General features: G+C 37.5%; 1 protein-coding gene across 2 annotated transcripts in view, besides 2 other annotated features; it reads right to left on the bottom strand.

Moving 5' to 3' along the window:
• Positions 1-22040, bottom strand: part of P3H2 (prolyl 3-hydroxylase 2) — a 165551-nt gene that overhangs the window by 82469 nt on the left and 61042 nt on the right. The gene's annotated exons all lie outside the window — the stretch shown is intronic.
• Positions 2023-2705: an enhancer, noted in NCBI's record as "OCT4-NANOG-H3K27ac hESC enhancer chr3:189759008-189759690 (GRCh37/hg19 assembly coordinates)". NCBI's record gives its function as "activates a minimal SCP1, AML or CMV promoter by ChIP-STARR-seq in naive H9 embryonic stem cells {active_cell/tissue: H9 hESC(naive)}" and the evidence as "EXISTENCE:reporter gene assay evidence [ECO:0000049][PMID:30033119]".
• Positions 12983-13032: a silencer, noted in NCBI's record as "silent region_14998". NCBI's record gives its function as "represses an Ori minimal core promoter by ATAC-STARR-seq in GM12878 lymphoblastoid cells {active_cell/tissue: GM12878}" and the evidence as "EXISTENCE:reporter gene assay evidence [ECO:0000049][PMID:35858748]".

Below are 22040 nucleotides of genomic sequence, written 5' to 3' on the forward strand. Positions count from 1 at the left end.
AAAATAAAAAAGAATTGAGCACTGTAAGGAAGGACAATTTTATGGAGCATATGATTGTTGAGTCCTCCACTAATAGTAACAGAATCCCCCAAACGCAACTACCAGCCATAGTTAAATGGCAACTCATGTTTAAATGAAAGCACATATTCAATTTTAATAAGTCTGTACCTTGGTATAATGCTTTGCTTCTCAGTTTGCAAAATTTAATGCATCTAATTCTGATATGATAACTTCATGAAATATAGCATGTGTTATCTTCACAGATGAGAAAACAGGCCCCAAAGATACAAAATTACTAGCTAAGAGTCTTATATATTGTTAATTGCAAAACCGTTGAACCTTTTATTTAAAAACATGTGTTAAGCCCATAGCATGGAGTAACCACTACACAGGGAACCAGGGATATAAAGATAGGGAAAACAAAGTCTTTGCCTTCCAGGCATTCAACATCTACCAAGGAGCATAAAAGAAATGCCCACAAACTCTTAAGTAATATGGACTATGATAAATCCCTCCAAAGGTTTCCAGAACGCATGAGGACTCACAGGAAGGAGGAATCAGTATGAGATTATTCGGGTTGATTTTCTACTGATCATGAGGTCAGTAAGGGGAGAAAATGAGATTTATTGATTCTTGTTTCCCCAGTGAGCCTAGAACACTCTGTAGGTGTTCAGAGTATTGATGGAAAGGAATGAATAATGAATGCATTAAGCTTTCTGTTCCCTGTATTTACTTTCTATGATATTCATTCCTAAAATGATTCACTTTACACTCTAAGAATAAGGAACAGAACAAAAACTCACAGGAATATGGAGAAGTGAGAGCAGTGACTATAGTTGCATTAGATATTTCTTAAATAGATATTTAGCCTTTTAATCTTTTTATATGTAATAATTCAAGATGCGTATCTTCAAGTCCTCAGTAATTGGCATCACACACACACAAAAAACCCGTCTTACACTTTTATCAAATGATATCCAGGCGACCATCAGTTACAGAACAACTGCACATTTGGCTGCATAGATTCCAGGGGAGATTTGAAAAACCTGGGATGAAGATATTTGTAAAGCACCACCAGATATTTAAACAGTTTTTATTGGGTCTATAAACCATTGTGGTACTCATTCGGTCCATAAACCTGGTGTGCACACAGGATTACCTGAGGCTTGTAAGGGAGAATGCCAACTAATGGTTACTGAATCCACCACCTGCAGAATAACTTTGGAAAAGCAGCTTGTTCCATCAGAGTCAAGACACGAGAACACCATCTTTTCATAAAGACATGGAATCTGATCTGACTGGTCATCTAAGGGCACCAGATATACGACTAAAAATGTTCATATTCATCACCTAAGGAAGGTAATGCTTTTATGTTTGCTATCACAAACATAGACAGTAGTGTTTTTCCAGGAATGGTGATAATATTGCCTTAAGTCATTTACATCTTCTGATTTCTTGGTTTCACACAAAGTATCCCTGACTTAAGACAAACTGCATCATTGCCTGTGGAAAGTTATTGGAATAGCAGATACATTGGATACATTTCTGTTATGAACTCTATGCAAAAAATGAGCTGATTAGCATGCAATCCATTCAACAAATATTTAATTTATGATTATGATGTATCAGCTACTACAAAGCTAGTACACATAGTACCAGTTAATTTCCATATGTTGGCGTGTGTGACCTTCAAGAAGGCACTAAAGGTCTGGTATGGTGGTGCACACCTGTAAACACAGCACTTTGGGAAGCTGAGGCAGGCAGATCACTTGAACTCAGGAGTTAAAGATCAGCCTGGGCAACATGGCAAAACCATGGCTCTACTATATATATATATATATACACACACACACACACACACACACACACACACACACACACACACTCTCTCTCTCTATATATATATATATACTATATATATATATATAAGCTGGGCATGGTGGTGCACACCTGTAGCCCCAGCTACTTGGGAGATTGAGGTAGGAGGATCATTTGAGCCTAGGAGGTTAAGGCTGCAGTAAGCCAAGATTGTGCCATTGCACTCCAGCCTGGGCAACAACAAAGTGATAACCTGTCTTAAAAAAAAAAAAAAAAAAAAAAAGCACTAAAATTTGTGTTTACATAAGTTCTTCATTTTTTATTTTCATACCCTGTTTCTTTTTAGCATATTAAGAGTATATTTTTTAAAGGAGGGTGGCAGTGAAGAGAAGAAAACTTTACCGCCTACTCAGCAAAATGTTTAAATTCTTAGTCCAATAAGGGGAAATCCCGAGAGGTTCACAGCTGGCTCTGCTTACTGCAATTACAGAATGCAAACTAGTACTTCAGTCAGAGCCTGCTTAAAAGTTTCCATGCCTGACCTGCAAATGCTTAAGGAGAATAATAGCTACTTTGCAACCTGAAAGGCCTCAAAGACCTAGGTCAATAGCACAGCTGGTCTAGTCATTGTTGCCCCTCTATTAACATGTTAAAACCTGAATTAGCTAATTTCTCCCTATTACTTTTATATGGTTTTTTATGTTCTCAAGTACCAGGAAAGAGACACTCTGCTTTTTAAATTTTTAATTTTTTACACAAAGGCAATTTTTAATTTTTAAGTGAAAAACAATGCTGTGAACAGAACTTAAAAATTCATGGTCATGGGAAGTTCAACTTAAAAAAAATTTTAACATACAAAAAAGCATATGAAGAAAGTAAAAAGAAAGTAATCACTTACCCAGTTTGTTTATTTTTCTTACCTAGTTTGTTTTCAGTTTAGAACAGCATATGCATGGAAAACACATTCCCCACGGGGCAATTCTTTATTCTTAATGATTAAAGTCTGTAAGTGCCTAAACCAATGGCTTTTGGTAATTAGTGGCTTTAAACTCTAAAACTGGCTTCTATCGTCTGAATGCAATGGTGGAGGAGTAGAGGGAGGGGTGGAAGAAAATTATTTATTTTGGTTAAGACCTATCCTGACTAGGATCTTCTGATGTGTAACTAACCTAATAGACATGAATAGGAAGTTGAGATTCTGAACTCTATTAGGGACTGAGGGTTATTGCCATATTTGATGTTTTTTGTTTAACTTATCCAGTCCACAAAGTTTGTGGCAAGTAACTATGAAACTGACAGCAGAAAGTATATGGTATTAGGAATCTGAGGACACGGTTCCAAAAATTTTTACTTGTTTACTCTGTGTGTCCTTGGTGTCAGGATATCCTAAGAACTTCATTGTCTTGTAAGATTTTGTGTGTGTGTGTGTGTGTGTGTGTGTGTATGTAGAATCTGGCCATCTATCTCACAGGCATATTGTGGAATATATCAAAGTATGTCAGAATATACTGCAAACTCTAAAGCTGTATAGCAATATAAGATGTTAGTATATTTGTAATAAAAGATTTTCAAAATTAATGTAGAATCTTCCTTCGGAACAACCTTATGAATAAAAGTACAGTATGTTCTACTTTGCATCATTTCCAGTCCCTACAGTAAACCTTTTGACCTGAATTCAAAGGAATGGTTCCTATTTTACATTGGCATAGTTACTATTCCCTTTTAGGGGTAAGTGGGATTCCAGCATACTGACTGTTCTTAGAAACAAGAGTCAGGAGAAGGCAGTGAAAATTTATCCCCAGAGTTCCACATTTTGGAGAAAACTGTTGAGCCCTTAACATTTTTTTTCACTCATAAAATAATGCTTTGGTAGAAAGCCAGACTAGAAACAAAGGCTAGTCAATTTTAACGCTGAAAATGAAGGCAGATTTTTTTCATTTGAAATGTAATCACTAGAAATGGTCGTTAATTTTTCTTCCTAAACTAATTTCCAGTAGCAGAACAGAGTACCATACATGGCCTATTAGCAAAGGGTTGTGAGAGAGTAAGTATAGGAAAGTGTTTGAAAATGTAAGAAATGAAACAATTTCAAAATCACTTTTATATTATAATTATCACAAAATAATAGAAGCGTCTGTGTGTGTGTTCATGTGCACATGCTCAGATGGAACATCATATACATTTATCATATTCCTAATTATAGTAAGATCTCATATAAGGCTTATTATGTACCTTCATGAAAATTCAGGCAGTTGTCATCCTTTAAGCGCCAAAGCAACAAATCAAAATTAAGGAACCAGAGTTGCTAACCTCCAGGAAGCCATGTGGAGCCTACTGATGAATGGAGATGATGAGGCTGCAGAGTGATGAGTGGAAAGAGTGCTGACTTCCTATGGGTAATTCGCAACTCTCAGCTTCTTCTTATTCTCTTTAAACTTGTACTTTACACAGGTGGAAGAAAGAACAGCAGAGTGCAGGTCACCCGTGAGAACTTGCCACAATTTCACTACACAAGAATTTCCTATTGATCTTTATCCCCTCTCACTTTATTGAGGTATAACTGGTAAACAGGAATTGTATATAGTTAATGTGTGCAATTTGATGTTTTGAAATATACATATAATAAAATGATCACTACACTCAAACTAACACATCCCTCACCTTCCGTAGTTACCACTATCCAGACTTTATACTGTTGTTGATATCAATCAAGTGTTTATATATCATAATTAGAAACAATAATGAGAGTAGGAATTATGAACCTTGAGCCAACATGTTCCACAAGTTCACAGCTGTGTCTCCCAGAGTCAGATGGAAGATTCTCAGGGCAGCAGACTCTGACAATGCACCTCAGGAGCATTTTTCTAGCAAATCTGCCTTAAAATCATGCTTTTATTACTGAAATAGGAGTTTTATAGTGTTATTTGGATGAATTCCAGGGAGATGTCAAAACAAAACAACAGAACTGTATTGCTTTCCTGAACTTCCAAGGTAGTCATAAACACTTTACAAAGAAGTATAAAATGAAAGAGAGATTGTTATATTTTACTTCATTTTTAGTTAGCATATTGCACACCTCTTAAAATAAATGCAGGGTCAAATAAGTGTTTCTTTAAAATAAAAACAAAACAAAAGCACAAGTAAGAGAATGAATAGGTGTCCAACTCCATTCCCAGGATATTTTGAAAATCATTAGCTAATACTTGAGCACTTGTCAGGAGCACACGTTGTTTCCCAGATGCTCATTGCCTTCTCACCACTCTGCATAATCCTAACACATGACACATTAGTTTCAGATGAGCCAGATGCCAAATGGGAGACATTTTACAGTACAGAGAAATCAGAGTGGTGGAGTAATACAGAAACTTTTAGCCAAGGCACATTCTCTGGGCTCTCAATCCTTTGCAGCTGCCACACCTCTCGCTAGAATGCAGTGCACACAGAAAACAGTTCTGACATCTGCCTCGCTTGTGGTCCCCAGTAAGAATTCTCGACATTGATATATGCTGTTCCACTCAGGACTGGAGCATGAGAATCCTCACCAGGGACACTTCATTAATTCTGCAAAAGCATGCACTTATCATACACTATACACTAACAACTTCCAAAAATAATAGTGTAAGGTAACTTACAATAACAATATATGTAGCCAGAAAATACAATGGTACAAGCTAGGACAAAAACTATCACATATGGAGGAGTGATTGATTGTACTTGGAAAGTGAATTGCGATGCCTCTATTTATTCCACGAGTATGAGGTAAACCTCGTCTAAATGTCAGGTAAGGCTATTGTCACTATGATTTAGCGGAGGGAAGAAAAAGGGTCTCTGTTCTCAATAACATGAATAAAGTGAAGACATGCAGTAACCAGAAAAACGTGTGAAATCGCTAAGATTAATATAGATACAACTTCTCACTAAAAATTGAAATTGGATGGTAGGATACAGTAATTTGGGGAGGAGGAGACTCCTTTAGCTAAGGTAGCCAGAAAGGCCTCTGAGTAAGTATTTAATAACAATTGAGCTAAGAACTCAATAAAATGCCCAGGAGAGAAAATACGTTGAGGAAGATCTTTAAGGCAAAGAGAAAAGCAAGTGCAAAGGCTCTTTGAGGAAGACCTTTGGCATCTCTGAGGAAAAGAAAAACATGCTGGATTTTATAGGACCTAATAAAATTAGGGAAGGCTTAACAAGCAGGCAAGGCCCAGATCATCTAAGCCATTGTAGGCCAATGTGAAAAGCTTGGATTTATTTTGCAATGATGAGAAAATTAATGCAATTGTGTGGTACACTTAGATATAAGCTTCGTGGCAGCTAAGATCTCTAAACATTCTTTTCCCTTAGCAAGAATAAATAGGGCTCTTGCTGTAAGAAGAGACATCTGAAAAAAATTCAAATTTTCTTCTTCCCATTATTCTGCATTCCTGTTTGCTGCCTTTTATTCATTTTTCCTTCCCCCCAACCAAATCCTTCATATATCCTAGTTCTAAGTATGACAGAAAGAGAGAGAGACATAGAGAGAGAGGCAGAACAAGAACCAGCTACAGAGCTGTGATGTGTCAACTTAACTAGACTACAGTCCCCAAACACCAATATAAGTGTTTCTTTGGAGGTATTTTTGTAAATATGAGTAAAGTCCATAATGAGTTGACTTTAAGTAAGACAGAGTATTTTAGATAATCCTGGTGGGCCTGATTCAATCAGTTGAAAGCCCTTAAGAATAGAATTGAAACACCTTAGGAAGATAATTTCGTCTTTCCTGAAAAAAAAAAGAAATTCCTCCTGTAGACAGAAGCCTCAGCTCATGGTTAAGAGTTCAAACCTAGGCCGGGCACGGTGGCTCACACCTGTAATCCCAGCACTTTAGGAGGCCAAGGTGGGCAGATCACGAGGTCAGGAGATCGAGACCATCCTGGCTAACATGGTGAAACCCCGTCTCTAAAAATAAAAATACAAAAATTAGCCAGCCGTGGTGGCGGGCGCCTGTGGTCCCAGCTACTCAGGAGGCTGAGGCAGGAGAATGGCGTGAACCCGGGAGGCAGAGCTTGCAGTGAGCTGAGATCGCACCACTGCACTCCCGCCTGGGCGACAGAGCAAGACTCCATCTCAAAAAAAAAAAAAAAAAAGAGTTCAAACCTGCCCTTCCTGGTGCCTGCCCTAAGGATTTCAGACTTGCCAAGCCAGCCTCCACAATCGTGTATGCCGTTTCCTTGCAGTACATCTCTTGTGATCTATCTGGTTCTATTTTTTCTGGTTGAATCCTGACTTACACAAGATATCACACTTATTTTGAATAAACGTCTTAAAGATAACTCATGCCAAACACCAAAGGGGTAAGATCGACATAATCCCTTTATTTCTGTGACCCATACAATATGGTTTCAATTACGTGGAAGATGAAAGGAAGAACAGTCTACTCAGGTATAATGCTGCCAAATTCCATTGTTCTGGCCAAATGAAGTAATGGTAGATGATGATGAAGAGAGGAGCAGAGTTAGAGAGCCCTCATCCATTTTGGATGTGTGGGCCACTGTAGCTGTGGATGCTATTGCCAGAATAGCTTGTCATAGTAGCCAGTAACATTAAAACTAAACATTTCAACACTATAATCTCACAATCAGATATAGATTTAAGAAACAATCAGATATAAACTCAAAATTGATGCAAATGGATTTCTCTATAAAATTTGTAATTGAACCACAGAGAATTAAACTAACTAAATGCCCAATATTAATGTAAATTAAAGAAATTTATGGTAATTTATTTTTAATTTAATTTAATTTATTTTAGGGTAATTTACCCTATTAAGCCACTCTAATTGGTATTGTAGAAGACCTCAAAAGCTCAGGTAACCAAAACAAAAATTGACAAATAGAATTATATTAAGCTAAAAAGCTTCTGTACAGCAAAGGAAACAATCAACAAAGCAAAGAGATAACCTACAGAATGGGAGAAATATTTGCAAACTATTTATCTAATGAGGAATTAATAACTAGAATATATAAGAAACTCAATAGCAAACAAAACAAAACAAAAAAACAAATAATCTGATCTAAAAATGGGCAAAAGATCGGAATAGACATTTCTTAAAAGAAGACATACAAATGACCAACAAGTAAATGAAAAGGTGCTCAACATCACCAATCATCAGAGAAATGCAAATCAAAACCACAGTGAGATATCATCTCACCCCAGTTAAAATGGCTATAATCCAAAAGACTTCATATAGCAAATGGTGACCTGACAATGATGTTGGTAGAGATACAAATCAGTGCAGCCACTATGGAAACCAATATGGAAACAGTATGGAGAGTCCTCAAAAAACTAAAAGTAGAATTACCATAAGATCTAGCAACCGCACTGCTGAGTATATATCCAAGGGAAAGGAAACTAGTGTATTAAAGAGGTATCTGTACTCTCATGTTTATTGTAGGAGTATTCACAATAGCTAAGCTGTGAAATCAACCTAAGTGTCCATCAATGAACATGAAAGTACAGATATCTAAACATAAGAGTTCCTGCAAATGACAGGGTTGTATTCTTTTTTATGGCTGAATAATATTCTCGTGTGTATATATACACCATGTTTCCTGTGAAGAAACATTTGCAGCAACATGGATGGAACTGGAGGACAGTATGTTAAGGTAAATAAGCCAGGCTCAGAAAGACAAATATTGCATGTTCTCACTCATATACAGGTGCTAAAAAATTGATCTCATAGAGGTAGTAAGTAGTCTCTGATGGCTACCAGAGGCTGGAAAGGGTAGTGGGAGAGGTGAGAATGAAGAGGCATTGGTTAATGGGTATAAAAATACAGTTAGATAGAAGGAATAAGTTACAGTATGGAATAGCACAGTAGGGAGACTACAGTTAACAATAATTTATAATCTATTGCAAAATAGCTAGAAGGTAAGATTTGGAAAGTTCTCAACACAAAGAAATGCTTTACCCTTGTTTTATCCTTTTTTTATGTATACAGGTCTTTCTTCTGATTTCTTGCATTTGAGAGAAGTGGCTGTCACAATGACTTCTGGAGGTACTTTAGAGGTCCCTCAAGGACTGTTGAATACAGAAGAGGAGCAGTTTCACCAACACAACTATCTTCATTTATTATTTTTTCTTCTCTCTTTTTAAAAAAATTACAATGATTCAAGAGATTTTATTTTAAAAATGGCTTCTGCTAACTTAAACATGGTTTGAGCCGGGTGTGGTGGTTGACACCTGTAATCCCAGCACTTTGGGAGGCTGAGGTGGGCAGATCACTTGAGGTCAGGAGTTCGAGACCAGCCTGGCCAACATGGTGAAACCCCATCTCTACTAAAAAATACAAAAGTTATCTGGGCATGGTGGCAGGTGCCTATAATCCCAACTACTTGGAAGGCTGAGGCATGAGAATCGCTTGAACCCGGGAGGTGGAGGTTGCAGAGAGCCGAGATCACACCACTGCACTCCAGACTGGGCAACACAATGAGAATGCCAAAAAATAGTTTTGAAAATAATATAACTACCATAGATTTTGCTTTATTTTACTAGATGATTTTTGTACCTGGTAGGCTATTGATGAACTATGACATTAATAACCAAGTATATTAAAAAACAAACAAATGAAAACAAAGTTAAAATGTAAGCTTGACATCACTGGCTATAAAAATTCTCCTGGAGAAGATGATCAGAATTGAAGCCTTTTAACTTTTCGGTGGACTATAGGGACAGTAGCAGGAGATCAGCTACATATCCCAGAAGCAATGTTTCTTCCAGGTCAGTATCATGTCATTCACAAGTGAAAAAATAAACACTAAAAATAAATAGAAGTTCTATAACAGAGACAGGAAAGGGACTCTCCTTGCTGTCTCCTGTCTACATGTCCTTTTAGCCTTAACACCTTCCAAAGGAAGGAGAAAAATAGCTTTGCAGGTTTGCAAATGTGTGTAGTTAGCATTTTAAGAACAAAAACGGGCTGCCTCTCACAGCTGTGTTGGAATTTGCTTCAGATTCTGCCTTCAAATCACAGAAGACGTGAGTAAGGGCACGTCCGTGACTCAGTCCTCAACCCTTGCCAAAGTAGTAGTTTTCTAGATATAAAACTACAGGGAAAGAAAAATAGAAAGTCAGAAGAGGAAGAAAAACTGCATGTTCATAAATCTTGCACAAAACTGAATCTCGAAGGTGTGATAAAAAGATCAGGATCGGGGAGTGTTTAGGAAAGAGAAACACACATATGTGAGGCACTACCTAACATTTCAATAGACACATGGTTTTTTTTTTCAGTCATATTAATTAAGTTCTGTGCACGGTGCTTGCACATAAATAAAACCAGATGCTTAAATTGTAGCTCAATCATTACGCTGTATTTGCTCACATCCCCTCCTGTACCACTTTCAAGAAATTGGCTTTTCGCCTAAATGGCAGGGGAGGGAAAGGGAAAAAAAGAAGAAAAAAAAGTTCTGGAGCTTTAGCCTTATTCTCAGGTTGATGAGTGGTTGTTGATATGTGACAAATACATTTCGCTTTCATGACATCTCTATGGAAAATTAAGAATTGTAGTTTTCTTGAGGCAGTTGAGATTCTTAAAGGAGTATTTATTCATCATGCTATTAATTTATTGGCCTTCATAAAAACTCTTTCAAAATTGTCACCTATCTATAAATAAGACTTAAAACCCACCCTCGGCTACATAGATACACACAAACACAAACACACAGATGTATGTGTGTGAATTTATAAAATAACCTGTCAATACATATGGAGAAAATAGTTTCACGGAATCAAAGTTATCTGGTTCACCTCCTTTAAGTGCATTTCCCAATGTGAGTTCTGAAGCATATTTGTTCCACGACATGTGAAAAACTGAGGGGCTTAAATAAATTGGGAAATGCCGGGTTACACAAAGTTAAACAGCTTTCTTTATTGTGGAACTTTCAGAGTCTCTAATATGCTGATGCACATTGTAAATATTCAAGAGGTCAACATACTCTGTAATATCTCTCAAAGCTGGTTGACCCAGAAACTTGCAAAATATCTTACAAGGGTGGTAATTTGCAGGACATGCAGTGAAAAATGCTAATATAAATCAATCTAAAATGTTCATCCAGTCTCTGATTAAATTTTCCCCATGTGAACAAAATTGCTACTTTCCAAAAGAGTTCATTCTGTCCTACGAAAGATCTAAGTCAAACGGGATTTCTTTCTTACGCTGAACCATAATCTATCTCTCTATAACTTCCACTATTGCTCTTGATTTTGCACTTTGGAAGAACAAAAAGAAGAGTAATGCAATTCCTTTTTCCTGCAATAGCTTTTTAGATATTTGAAAGCGACAATCATATTCACAAACTCTTCCATTTTGCAGGAAGACACAGCTCTAGTTCTTAAATGAATGCATCAAATTAATCCTCTCTACTTGTCAATGTCTTAAGACATGGGGCTTCAAAATGATTACAGAAATTCAGATCTCTAGAAGTATCTATGCTTCTATAGATGCAGACTTAGATGTCAGGTTTTGTTTTTTTCTGGAAGGCATGTCTTATCATTGATTCCAATTAATTTACTAAAACTTTCGAGTCCTCATAAATATTGTGGCTAAGTCAATTCTCTACAGTTCTATATCTGTATGATCATTTGTTTGTGTATATATGAGTTTTTTGAGGAATATTAGGAAAACACAAGTCCATTAGATTTTATTCGTCCTTCATGACAGAGACTGTGCTTTATAATAAAATTGGTCATCTTTTCTCAGTTACCTTCTCTTATAAAGTTATAATATCTCAGCTTCATGCAAATTCTATTACATTAGAAGAATGAAGAGTATTAGCCTGAAACTTACTACCTATACTAGTGACCTCCTTCCAGCTTAATACCAATTCATTACTTGATACCAAGTAAATTGTTTCACAAACCTACACAATACCAATGATAATACATTTATCTAGCTGGTCATGAAGTCATAATATAAAAGATACTGTCAAATGCCTTCTGAAATTAGGATATTAATCTGTAGCAATTTCCTAATCTGCGAACTGAAGCAGACCAGTCATAGCTATAGGTAGTGCAGGTCTTGTTAGTTCACCTGTGACATCAATAACTGTATCATCATGTAATTTGATAAGTTAGAATCAATAATGCAGAAACAGGACAATGCTAATGCCATTTGATGCGGGTACAGGTTAGGATTTAAAGGAAATAGGCTATTAATAGCTGGGAGGTTACTCTGGATGAGAAAAGAGTGAAGAGGCAACTGAAGAAAAAGTTACTTTTGTCAGGATGATGAACAACCAATACAAAATAACATTTGTTTTTTCTCTATAAAAAATGGAAATAGGAAAAAATGACATAGAATTTTATGGCATTAAGATGTCATTTAATCTTTGGTCAAACAATGCAATTTAATACGGAAAAGGTAAAAATTTGCTCAACTTTTCATACTAGAGGCCATAGTTGAAAAGCATATAGAGATAAATCCTGGGCATTTAGTAGCTGTAATAAGAAGTCCTTGCTTAAAGAAGAGCCAATTTTTACAAGTTACAGCTTATTTTCTTTTAAAAATTAAAAGGAGCAAAGGAAACCTGCCATTTGGCAAATTCAAAGGTCTTGTAACTGATCTTCAAAATCCTCAACAATTTAATTGGAACACAAAAAATAACAGAAACCTGCAATACTTGTTTGTCATTTTTAAGAACAAACATTACTTTCAAATCACTTTCCCTCTCCAAGATCTAATCTGCCAGGTTTCAGCCCACAGTGAATTCTTGCAGCTGGGTTAGGATCCCCCAAGAAAGGGCGTTCAAAACAAAAATGCTGAGGGAGGCATTTCAGCCAAGGGAGGCATTTCAGCTGTGGAGGAGGATGGAAAATTTCTAAGCACAAGGACTTCCCCTCTCAGGCCTGGGAATGCCATTTGAAAGGCTTCTTCACCCATCTGTTCTATTCACACTTGCCCAGGAGTCAGACCTTCTAAAAACTACATACCACAAAATAGTCCTTGAGGAAACACAATATCTTTCCTGGTAACGAATATCCTCAAAAACAAAGAAAAAAGTGGAGAAATAGAATAAACAAATCATTTTTAAAATAAATTTTACTTTAAGTTCTGGGATACACGTGCAGAACGTGCAGGATTGTTACATAGGTATACATGTGCCGTGGTGGTTTGCTACACCTATCAACCTGTCATTCAGGTTCTAAGTCCCGCATGCATTAAGTATTTGTCCTAATGCTCTCCCTTCCTCTTGCCCCTCACCCCCCGACAAGCCCCGGTGTGTGATGTTACCCTCCCTGGGTCCATATGTTCTAATTTTTCAGCTCCCACTTATGAGTGAGAACATGCAGTGTTTGGTTTTCTGTTCCTGTATTAGTTTGCTGAGAATGATAGCTTCCAGTTTCATCCATGTCCCTGCAAAGGACATAGACACTTCTTTTAAAGCATATTTCTTTTAAAACAAACTTCTTTTAAAATATGTTTTAAAAGAAGTGAACTATACTACAGAGTAATAGTTTTAGCTCACATTGATTGAGATCTTTCTCCATGCTTAGCACTGTTCTCCATGAAGTAAGTAATATTATATCCCCAATTTATACAAATGTAAATCGAAGATAGAAAGGTTATTACCGTGTCTAAGAACATATTGCTGTGTGTTTATGTGTATATAAGTATATATACATATAAATGTGTGTGTGTGTATATATATATATATATGCATGTGTGTATATACACATACATATCTATCTATCTGTCTTTAGTGAGTTTAATTGATGATCAGTAAACCGTACATGTAAAAGAATATAATTTGATGAATTTTGGCATATGCATTCCCCCATGAATCCACACAGCGATCAAGACAATGAATATATCCACTCTCCCTAAAAGTTTCCGTGTGCCACTTTCAAATTCATCTTTCTTCCTTAGTCCATACTGAGGCAACCGTTGATCTGCTTTCATTTCTATAGGTTAGTTTAAATTTTTATAAAACTTTATATGAAAAGAAAAATACAGCAAATCTTTTTATCTAGCTTCTTTCACTCAGAAGAACTATTTTAGGATTCAATCATGTTGTGGCACATATCAACAGCTGACTCCTTTGAATAGCCGAGTAGTATTCCATTCTAGGACAATATCACAATTTGTTTTGTTATATATTTGTTGAGGGCCGCTTGTTTCCAATTTTTAGCTATCACAAATAAATTTTCTAAAAACATTCAGATACAAGTCTTTAACTTCTCTAATGATGTTGAGCATTTTTAATGTATTTATTTGTTATCCACATATCATATTTGGTGAAGTGTCTATTCAAATATTTTTGATTGTAAAATTGGATTTTCTTATTGAATTTTAAGAATTCTTTATATATTCTAGACACATGTCTTTTGTTAGGTATATATTTTTCAAATATTTTCTCTCAGTCTATGACTGCCTTTTTATTTTTATTTTTAAATAAAGTGGTTTTTTTTTTTTTTTTTGAGATGGAGTTCCACTCTTGTCACCCAGGCCCCAGTCTGGAGTGCAATGGCACAATCTCGGCTCACTGTAACCTCTGTCTCCTGGGTTCAAGCGATTCTCCTGCCTCAGCCTCCTTAGTAGCTGGGATTACAGGTACCCGCCACCATGCCCGGCTAATTTTTGTATTCTTAGTAGAGACAGGGTTTCACCATGTTGGCCAGGGTGGTCTCTAAGTCCTGACCTCAGGTGATCCACGCGCCTCGGCCTCCCAAAGTGCTGGGATTACAGGAATGAGCCACTGGGCCCAGCCAAAAGTGTCTTTTGAAGAACAACCACTTTTAATTTTTATGGGGCCCAATTTGTTGATCTATTTCTCTTATAGTTTATGTATTTTATTTTCTAATCAAGACGTATTTTTCAAATCCAGAGTTACTAAGATTTCCCTGTTTTCTTAAACAAATTTCAAAACTGTAGCTTCTACACATAGGTCTACAATCTATTGAGGTTTTTTTATATCAATGTTTCCATCACCATTTACTGAAAAAAATATTCTTTCTCCATTGAACTTCCTTCATACATTAGTAGAAAATCAGCTGGCCATATATGCAGGGGCTTTATCTGCACTGTATTCTAATGTTCTTAGCCACTATGCTGCATTATACTCCAAGACCACTACTGGAACAGTGAGGTTACTGAAATAATGCCTAATCAGAACCCTCCACCCCCACCTATAGTTTATTTTCTAAATGCCTTATTTATCATCATTAATCAGTTTAGGAAATGAAAGATTCTGCCTTATATAACTATGGTATTCAAAGGAAGTTCATAGTCTGAGAAAATTGAATCTTGAATAATTTGCAGGGCAACTAGCCTGGTCTCTGAGGATCTGGTGAAGCCATCAGCCACGACACAGACTGATCTGAGAGCCGACGTCAGTAGTGACATCCAGCCTTGTCATATCTTTGGAATGTGGTAGAGAGAAAAAAAAAAGATCATAGAATATCAACATTGGGAGAGATACTACTGGGCCTGTAGTTCAGCTGTTTGACACTAGGATCTTTATTTTTTTTTCAGTCATGTAAAATACCTTTGCTCAGTCATGAAGCTTTGATTGGACCTCTACAGAGATGCCAGTATCACTCCCTCCACTACTCCAGGCAGCTCATTTATCTATGGAGAGTCCTAACTGCTTTAAAGATTGTTCTCACGTTGTACAATTTCTAAGATTCTGAATTTTTCACCCATTCATCCACACCTTGTATCCCTTCATGGATTTCAGCTACCTGGGCATCAGGCATATGAAAAGACTCAGGCACTGCCCCCATCCCCTCACCTCACTTCATTCAGTATTATGAGTAGAAACTAAGGGAACTAAGCTTACTACCCGCCTCTTCTTCACATTACAGAATTGTATGCCCCCCTCCATCTTGTTCTCCATCTGTAACAGCTCTTCTCTTTCAATATCCCTCTTAAATGCCCCCAAACAGACACCATTCTCCAAGAATCTATCCATGAGAAATACATTGTGAAAGTCAAATTCCATGTTCATTAGGCCTCCCAATTCCTTTTCCTTCCTTCAGCAGTTAAAGTGGGATGCACATCTTTCTTGTTCTCTGAGGGACAGGCCTCTCTCGAACAGGAGACTCCCCCGTCTTCCCCAATAGAAACAGGAAAGTGTAACATGGGCATCAGATGTTAAGGAGACCACTGACCCCTGTTGTCCACAAACAACTTTTAATAGTGCATCTTACAATCGGGAATAACTACAAGCTGTGCGTAACATAGGGTCTTACATTCAGCAGTCTCCTCAGTACTTAGCCAAGTTTGTGTTCGTTTGGATAAAACTTCTAAAAATTTCCCACATTAATTTTCTTCTGCCAAAAAGTGACATTATATTTAATTTCTAAAACTTCAGTTTGAAAGACTGAAATTCACATCAGTGCATTCTCAATTTTACCCCTTTACTTAAAAAAGAATCACCATAACAAAAAAGATTTAAATTCATTATAACAAGAATCTTTAGATATTAAACAAAATGTGAAAAAAAAAATTGGGAATGAAACTCTATACAGAGTGCTTTTTTTTTTTTTCTCCTTTCTCTCATTTCGCTGAATACCAAAAAGTGAAGTACTTAGAAATGTAATTACATTTCAAGAGTCAGGCAATGGCCATAGTTACATTTTACAAAACGATCATATTCTCTTGAAGGAAGTCAAAGATTATTATGTGGGCCTTGAGGCAAGTACAAACAAAATAGATTCAGCGTTCCAAGAAAGAATACAGAATACAATATCATTCTCAATTTTACACTCCTGGCTCTTCTGATTTATATTTTTAGTGGATAATAAAAGTAAGCTTTCTATAACAATTCCATGGAATGTAGCTCTAAAAAGAGCCTCTTTTTCCTTCTTGGGATGTACTATGCTTTGTAATTGGGATTTACTTGTGTGTTTACTTGTACTATGGACTGTTCGTGTCCACCCAAAATTCATATATTGAAGCTCTAACTTCAGCGTGGCTGTATTTGGAGATAGGGGATACTAAGGAAGTACTTCACGTTAAATGAGGTCATTAGGGTGGGGTCTTTTAGGATGGGGCTATGACATGATAAGATTAGTAGTATCCTTATAGGAAGAGACACCAGAAAGCTCTCTCTCTCTGCCTCTCACATGGAAAGTCCATGTGAAGGACGTAGTGAGAAGATGGCCATCTTTAAGCCAGGAAGACAGCCTCACCAGAAACTAAACCACCTGGAACCTTGATCCCGGACTTTTAACTTCTAGAACTGTGAAAAAATAAATGTCTGTTGTTCAAGTCATCCAGACTGTGGTCTTTGTCCTGGCAGCCCAAGCTAATACAGCTTGTTAAGAAGCTGTCCCCCTGATAGAGACCACAGGCAGTTCCCTACGGTCATGAGGGCAGTTACTGCCTTCATTTGGTTCACCGCTATATTCCCGAGTACTCAACACAGGGTCCACATAGCAAGGGCTCACTAAACATTCATGGAAAAATATGCAGTTTTAAATTAGATTGTTCTCAAATGAATTCTGGGAAACCTTTAAATATTTTCATTGCATTCAGAATGTTTGATAGGTGGACTCTTTCTGAAAAGCCAAATCTACAGGGAACGTAATTTCAAGAAGTCGTGATGATAATCTGGATTAATCCATTCATCACCAGTCAAACTACGATTAAGCTTCTGGGGGTCCATAGAAATGACAGAGACTTTGGTGTGAGGCTGGATAGCTCAGTCAGAAATGATGGAGACTTTTTCTCAGCTGCAGTTAACTGGGATGCCTTAAACATGCCAGCGGTCTATTTCTATAAATCCAAGGAGCTGGATTAGAAAAGCACACGCAGCTGCTCTGGGCCTCCCCACTTCCTTTGCCTAGGGAAAGTCCTCAGATCCACACTCTACTCAGACACTGCTGTGTTTTACAAAGAATATGCTTCCCAAGCCTCAACTGTTCAAGTAGACCCTCCCCCTTCACCATAGACTAGAAACATGCTTTTGGAAAATGCGACCTCATTCCAGGATAACTTGGATTCATTTATAGCAGAGAGGACTGATGAAACGGCTGCCAACCTTTCAGACATGAGAGAAGGGGAAGTGGGGAACTGGAGCAGAAGGAGAATGACTTGAAAAGGGGATGTCTGTATTACCTACAAATCAACTTGAAAAATTTAGTAGGCCTAACTTTAAGTATCTTCTTATCCTGCTTCTTTTTACATAATGATGGATAGTTAAGAGTCTTGTTACTTAAAGGGTGATCCTTAGACCAGAAGCAAAGGGAACTTGTTAGAAATGCAAATCTCAAACTAGATCAGACCTACTGAATTAAAACTGCATTTTAACAAAATCCCCCAGCTGATCTGTATGGACACGAAAGTCTGAGAAGCACAGCTTTTCTGTGTTAGGAGTAAGAACCATGGAAGGCTAAGTCCCAGGGATGTATCTGAACCCCGCTGGTTCTGATTCCTAATCATGTCTGGAATGAAATTCTCTGCTCCTTCTCATGACTTTCTTCTAAGGCCTACCATCTACCAGTGTTATTCCTTTCCCTAGTTCCCTGGAAACAGAATCCCACATCACTCCTCCACCTGAAGCAAGCTATCCTTTGAGAGTTTCATATAGATTTCTATTTGGGATAATGGTGTGGACGCTGAGAGGAAAGAAAAAAGCCATCACACTTTATCTTACAGGATCATCCTGCAGAGGGAAGGCTGAGGCAAACAGATGATGTGGTGTGGCCTCTGTTTTAGACAGCTTTATATTCATCTATATTTCAATAAAAACCCAAACTTTGGCTACTAAGAGCATTTTTCCATCGAAACATGGGAGTGAAAGGAAAGATGAAGGAATAGGTAACATATTCAGCAGTAGGAATCTATTTTCAGAGTGTAAGGAAGATGGGTGAGTTCTTGAGTTTCCCTTCCTTCTTCCCTCTCTTCCTCAGTCATTCCCAGAACTAAGGCATAGCTGACCTTCAACTTGAAGTACTCATTAATGAGAAAAAAAATCTGGGTCTATTTGTGAAAGATGGGAATATTAGAGACAGAGGAATAGCTGGGGCAGATAAAAAACAGGATTGAAAGGGTCTCCCCAACACCAAAAAATAAAATAAAATAAAGACTGTAAGGAAGAGCATGGAAAATCCCAATATCACCTCAGTCATTCCTGACTTAATATAATTTAGGAGAATATATATTCCTCAACACATAACCCTAAGGGGCCAGCAAAATGCCTTGTACATAGATTTTAGTCCCTATCTGTCAACTGGCTTGTTGAAGTCCTAGTTCTTTTTCAGTAAGATGGGGATAAGCTACCCTCTCTCGTGTAAGTAGCATTTATTGTTTCCTATAGATCAATTTATTCACCTCATAGTGAAGATACCAGGTATTGATGATACCTATCCCCGCCCCCAAGGAATAAAAGTATTTATTCCTGTCCTAAAACAAGGCGAAAACTACGGAAGCCATAGGAACTACAATGGGTTAAACTTGTGAAGTTTCAAATATGGGTCAAAGTTGTAAAATGGAATGGGGAGTAAATGGTCCCAGGAATGCTGGAAACAACTTGGTAACAGAATGGGAGTGAGTAGATGTCCAGGAATGGAAAGGGTGAAATGTTACATCAACTTAAAAGGGTAAAAAGACTTAATTGCCTTGACAGCTTCAACATTACTGGAAGCTGTGGGCAGAAGGGCGACCTGCTTTGCTGATGCAGACAGCAAGTTATAGGGAGGATGTAAACCAGTCAGCAAAATTCAACCTTCATTTCAGCTACTGCTGTTATTTTAACCCTGCGCAAAAGGTCACAGTGTTCTGTCCCTGATAATAAAAGGATGCTGGGAAAAGACCAGAGAAGGCACACACACAAAGGAAACTCACTAAACAAAAGCCAGATTTAGTTCAGCGAGAAAACAACTGATTTTTGCTGAGGAGACTTTACAGTGAAACACAATGGCTTCCTTCTTTCCCTGCTATCCTTTCAGCTTAGTGGATTGGGGAAGGAGGGCATTCTTATTAGCTACCAACATTGTACATTCAGTTGTTAAATCTCTGCTTTGCTGATCCCCTTTCTCGATCATTTTCTGATACCCAGGACTTCCTTTAGACAAAGGCTGGACTACACAGAGGATGCAGACTCAGACAGGCAGTCCCTGCTTCATGGCAGTTGGTGAGGCTGCAGTAGCTTCCTACCCTACACTCCCATAGCCTTGTGAGGATTCTCCTACTTCCCCCAACCTGTGCCATAATAGTATAATTATCTGTCTTCATGTCTGTCTCCCCTACTGATGGTGAGTTTCTTGAGTAGCAGGTCTGTGTTTTAATAGCTGATGCAGACAGTAGGTGGGTCAGTATGTGTTTGGCAACTGTATTCCAGGAAGATAGTCTCATGAGTAAGAGACTCCCAGCACAGCTGCACCGAGAGGTATCAAAAGCACAGCATTGTCATACAACACTGGAGGATGGAAAATTGGAAAGGTCACTGGTTTTAGTCATGGGGATCCTTTTCCTTCCTGGGCTCCAGCCATAGTGTCATGGTGAAAGAAGCAAAGACTAAGAGAATGAGAAAGCTCTGAACTACCAGAATTGGAAAAAGTGACATTTTCCTATTTGTCATTATCCTTACTTCACTGCTTTCCTCCAACGCCAGCATCACTCACCTTCACTGCCTCTGCCACCCACCCCTCCAACACTTGCCACCAATTCCCACGAATGCTGGCCTCCTCATCCTGGTAGCATCTTTAGGATATGAAAGAAACACTGCATGATGGCTAGGGGACAAAACCAAACATAATTCTTGATCATTTTTTAGTATCCTGCAAGAGCCCTAACCACTCTCCACAGTGTCTTCTTGTTCACAAGTCTGACTAACTTCTTGTTTTTCAAGCTTGGAAAATGAAGATTCCTTCTCGTCATCTGAGATTTTTTAAAGTCACATGGTACCATATGAATGAAGTGTGTTACGCTGGGAAACTCTAATTGGTATAGTTCCAGTTTAAGGAGAAAAGACAGGAAATTTTTCCAGGTATCTACCTTTTGCCAACATCAAGAATTTTCTTCTAAAAATGGCTTTATCTAAGACACTTAATGTAAGAATTTAGAACATTTTGATGAAAACATTTTTCTTAAGACTAATCCAATGCCTGAAAAATACCCAGGTTTTGTAACAAATAGCTGAAAGTGTTTGTCCTGAAGCAGATGAAGCACCCAATTTGTTGAAATTCACTGCTTTGGAGGTTCCTAAAATGCCTGGATGTTAAGGAAAAAAAAATAGTAGTCACAGAAAAATACAACATTTGCCACTATTAACGAAGTATTTGGCTAAATCCTAATGCAAAGCATCTATTTTAAAACTAGGCTGGAGATCTGTAAGGAAGCTTACAATGCATTCAGCATCCAAGTCCGCCAATTTTCTGGAGGTTACAAGTGATCACAAAATCCGTTCAAGTTCACATATTAATTTTCTGGGAATTAGAAGAATCATGAATGCCAAGCCAGACTTAAGAGAAAAATTTCCTGGATATTTTAAATAGTCAGTGACTCCTGGAAGTGGTTTCCTCTCAATTCTTCTAATTCCAATTTTATATTTTTTAATAGCTATCATTGCTTTCAGTCAAGCACTCTGTTTTTATAGAATTGGATGATGCACTGTATCTTAGTCACAATGGCCTAATTTAGCCTATGATCTCTACTTACTCGAATGAAGTGTATCTCCAAGGGAAAACCAAAGATTTCACATCAAACTATAATTTGGTGCTATTTTGTTCCACTGTCTCATAAATGGATAAAGATGCTTAAAAGAACTTCTGAGAATAAAAAATTGATTGTAAATCAAAACCCATGTACTAACATGCTAAAAATATAGGGAAGGGGAGTATAGAAATGGCAGGAACCATGCTACATGGTTTGTTTTATTTTGATGACCTTTATGGAACACTAAGCACCTGCTTTATTTATTTTTTATTTTCTTATTTGTACAAATTTATGGGGCACATGTACAATTTTGTTATGTGTAGATTGCTTAGTGGTGAAGTCAGGGCTTCCAGGCTATTCCATCACCCAGATAGTGTACACTATACTCATTTACTAATTTCTTATCTTGCTTCATTCTTCACTAAAGGGCTCTAGGACATTCCATTGTTTCTGACTATAGAGGAATATACAAAGTAAGATTGAACTGGAATTAAAAACAAAACTAAAACACCTTCTTCCTCCACTCTTCATCCTCCTTACTTGCCCCACAAGTGCCTGAGAATAGCTCCTTCACTTTTTTTCCTCT

Source organism: Homo sapiens, chromosome 3, assembly GCF_000001405.40.
Source record: "Homo sapiens chromosome 3, GRCh38.p14 Primary Assembly".
NCBI classification, from domain to species: Eukaryota; Metazoa; Chordata; class Mammalia; order Primates; family Hominidae; genus Homo; species Homo sapiens.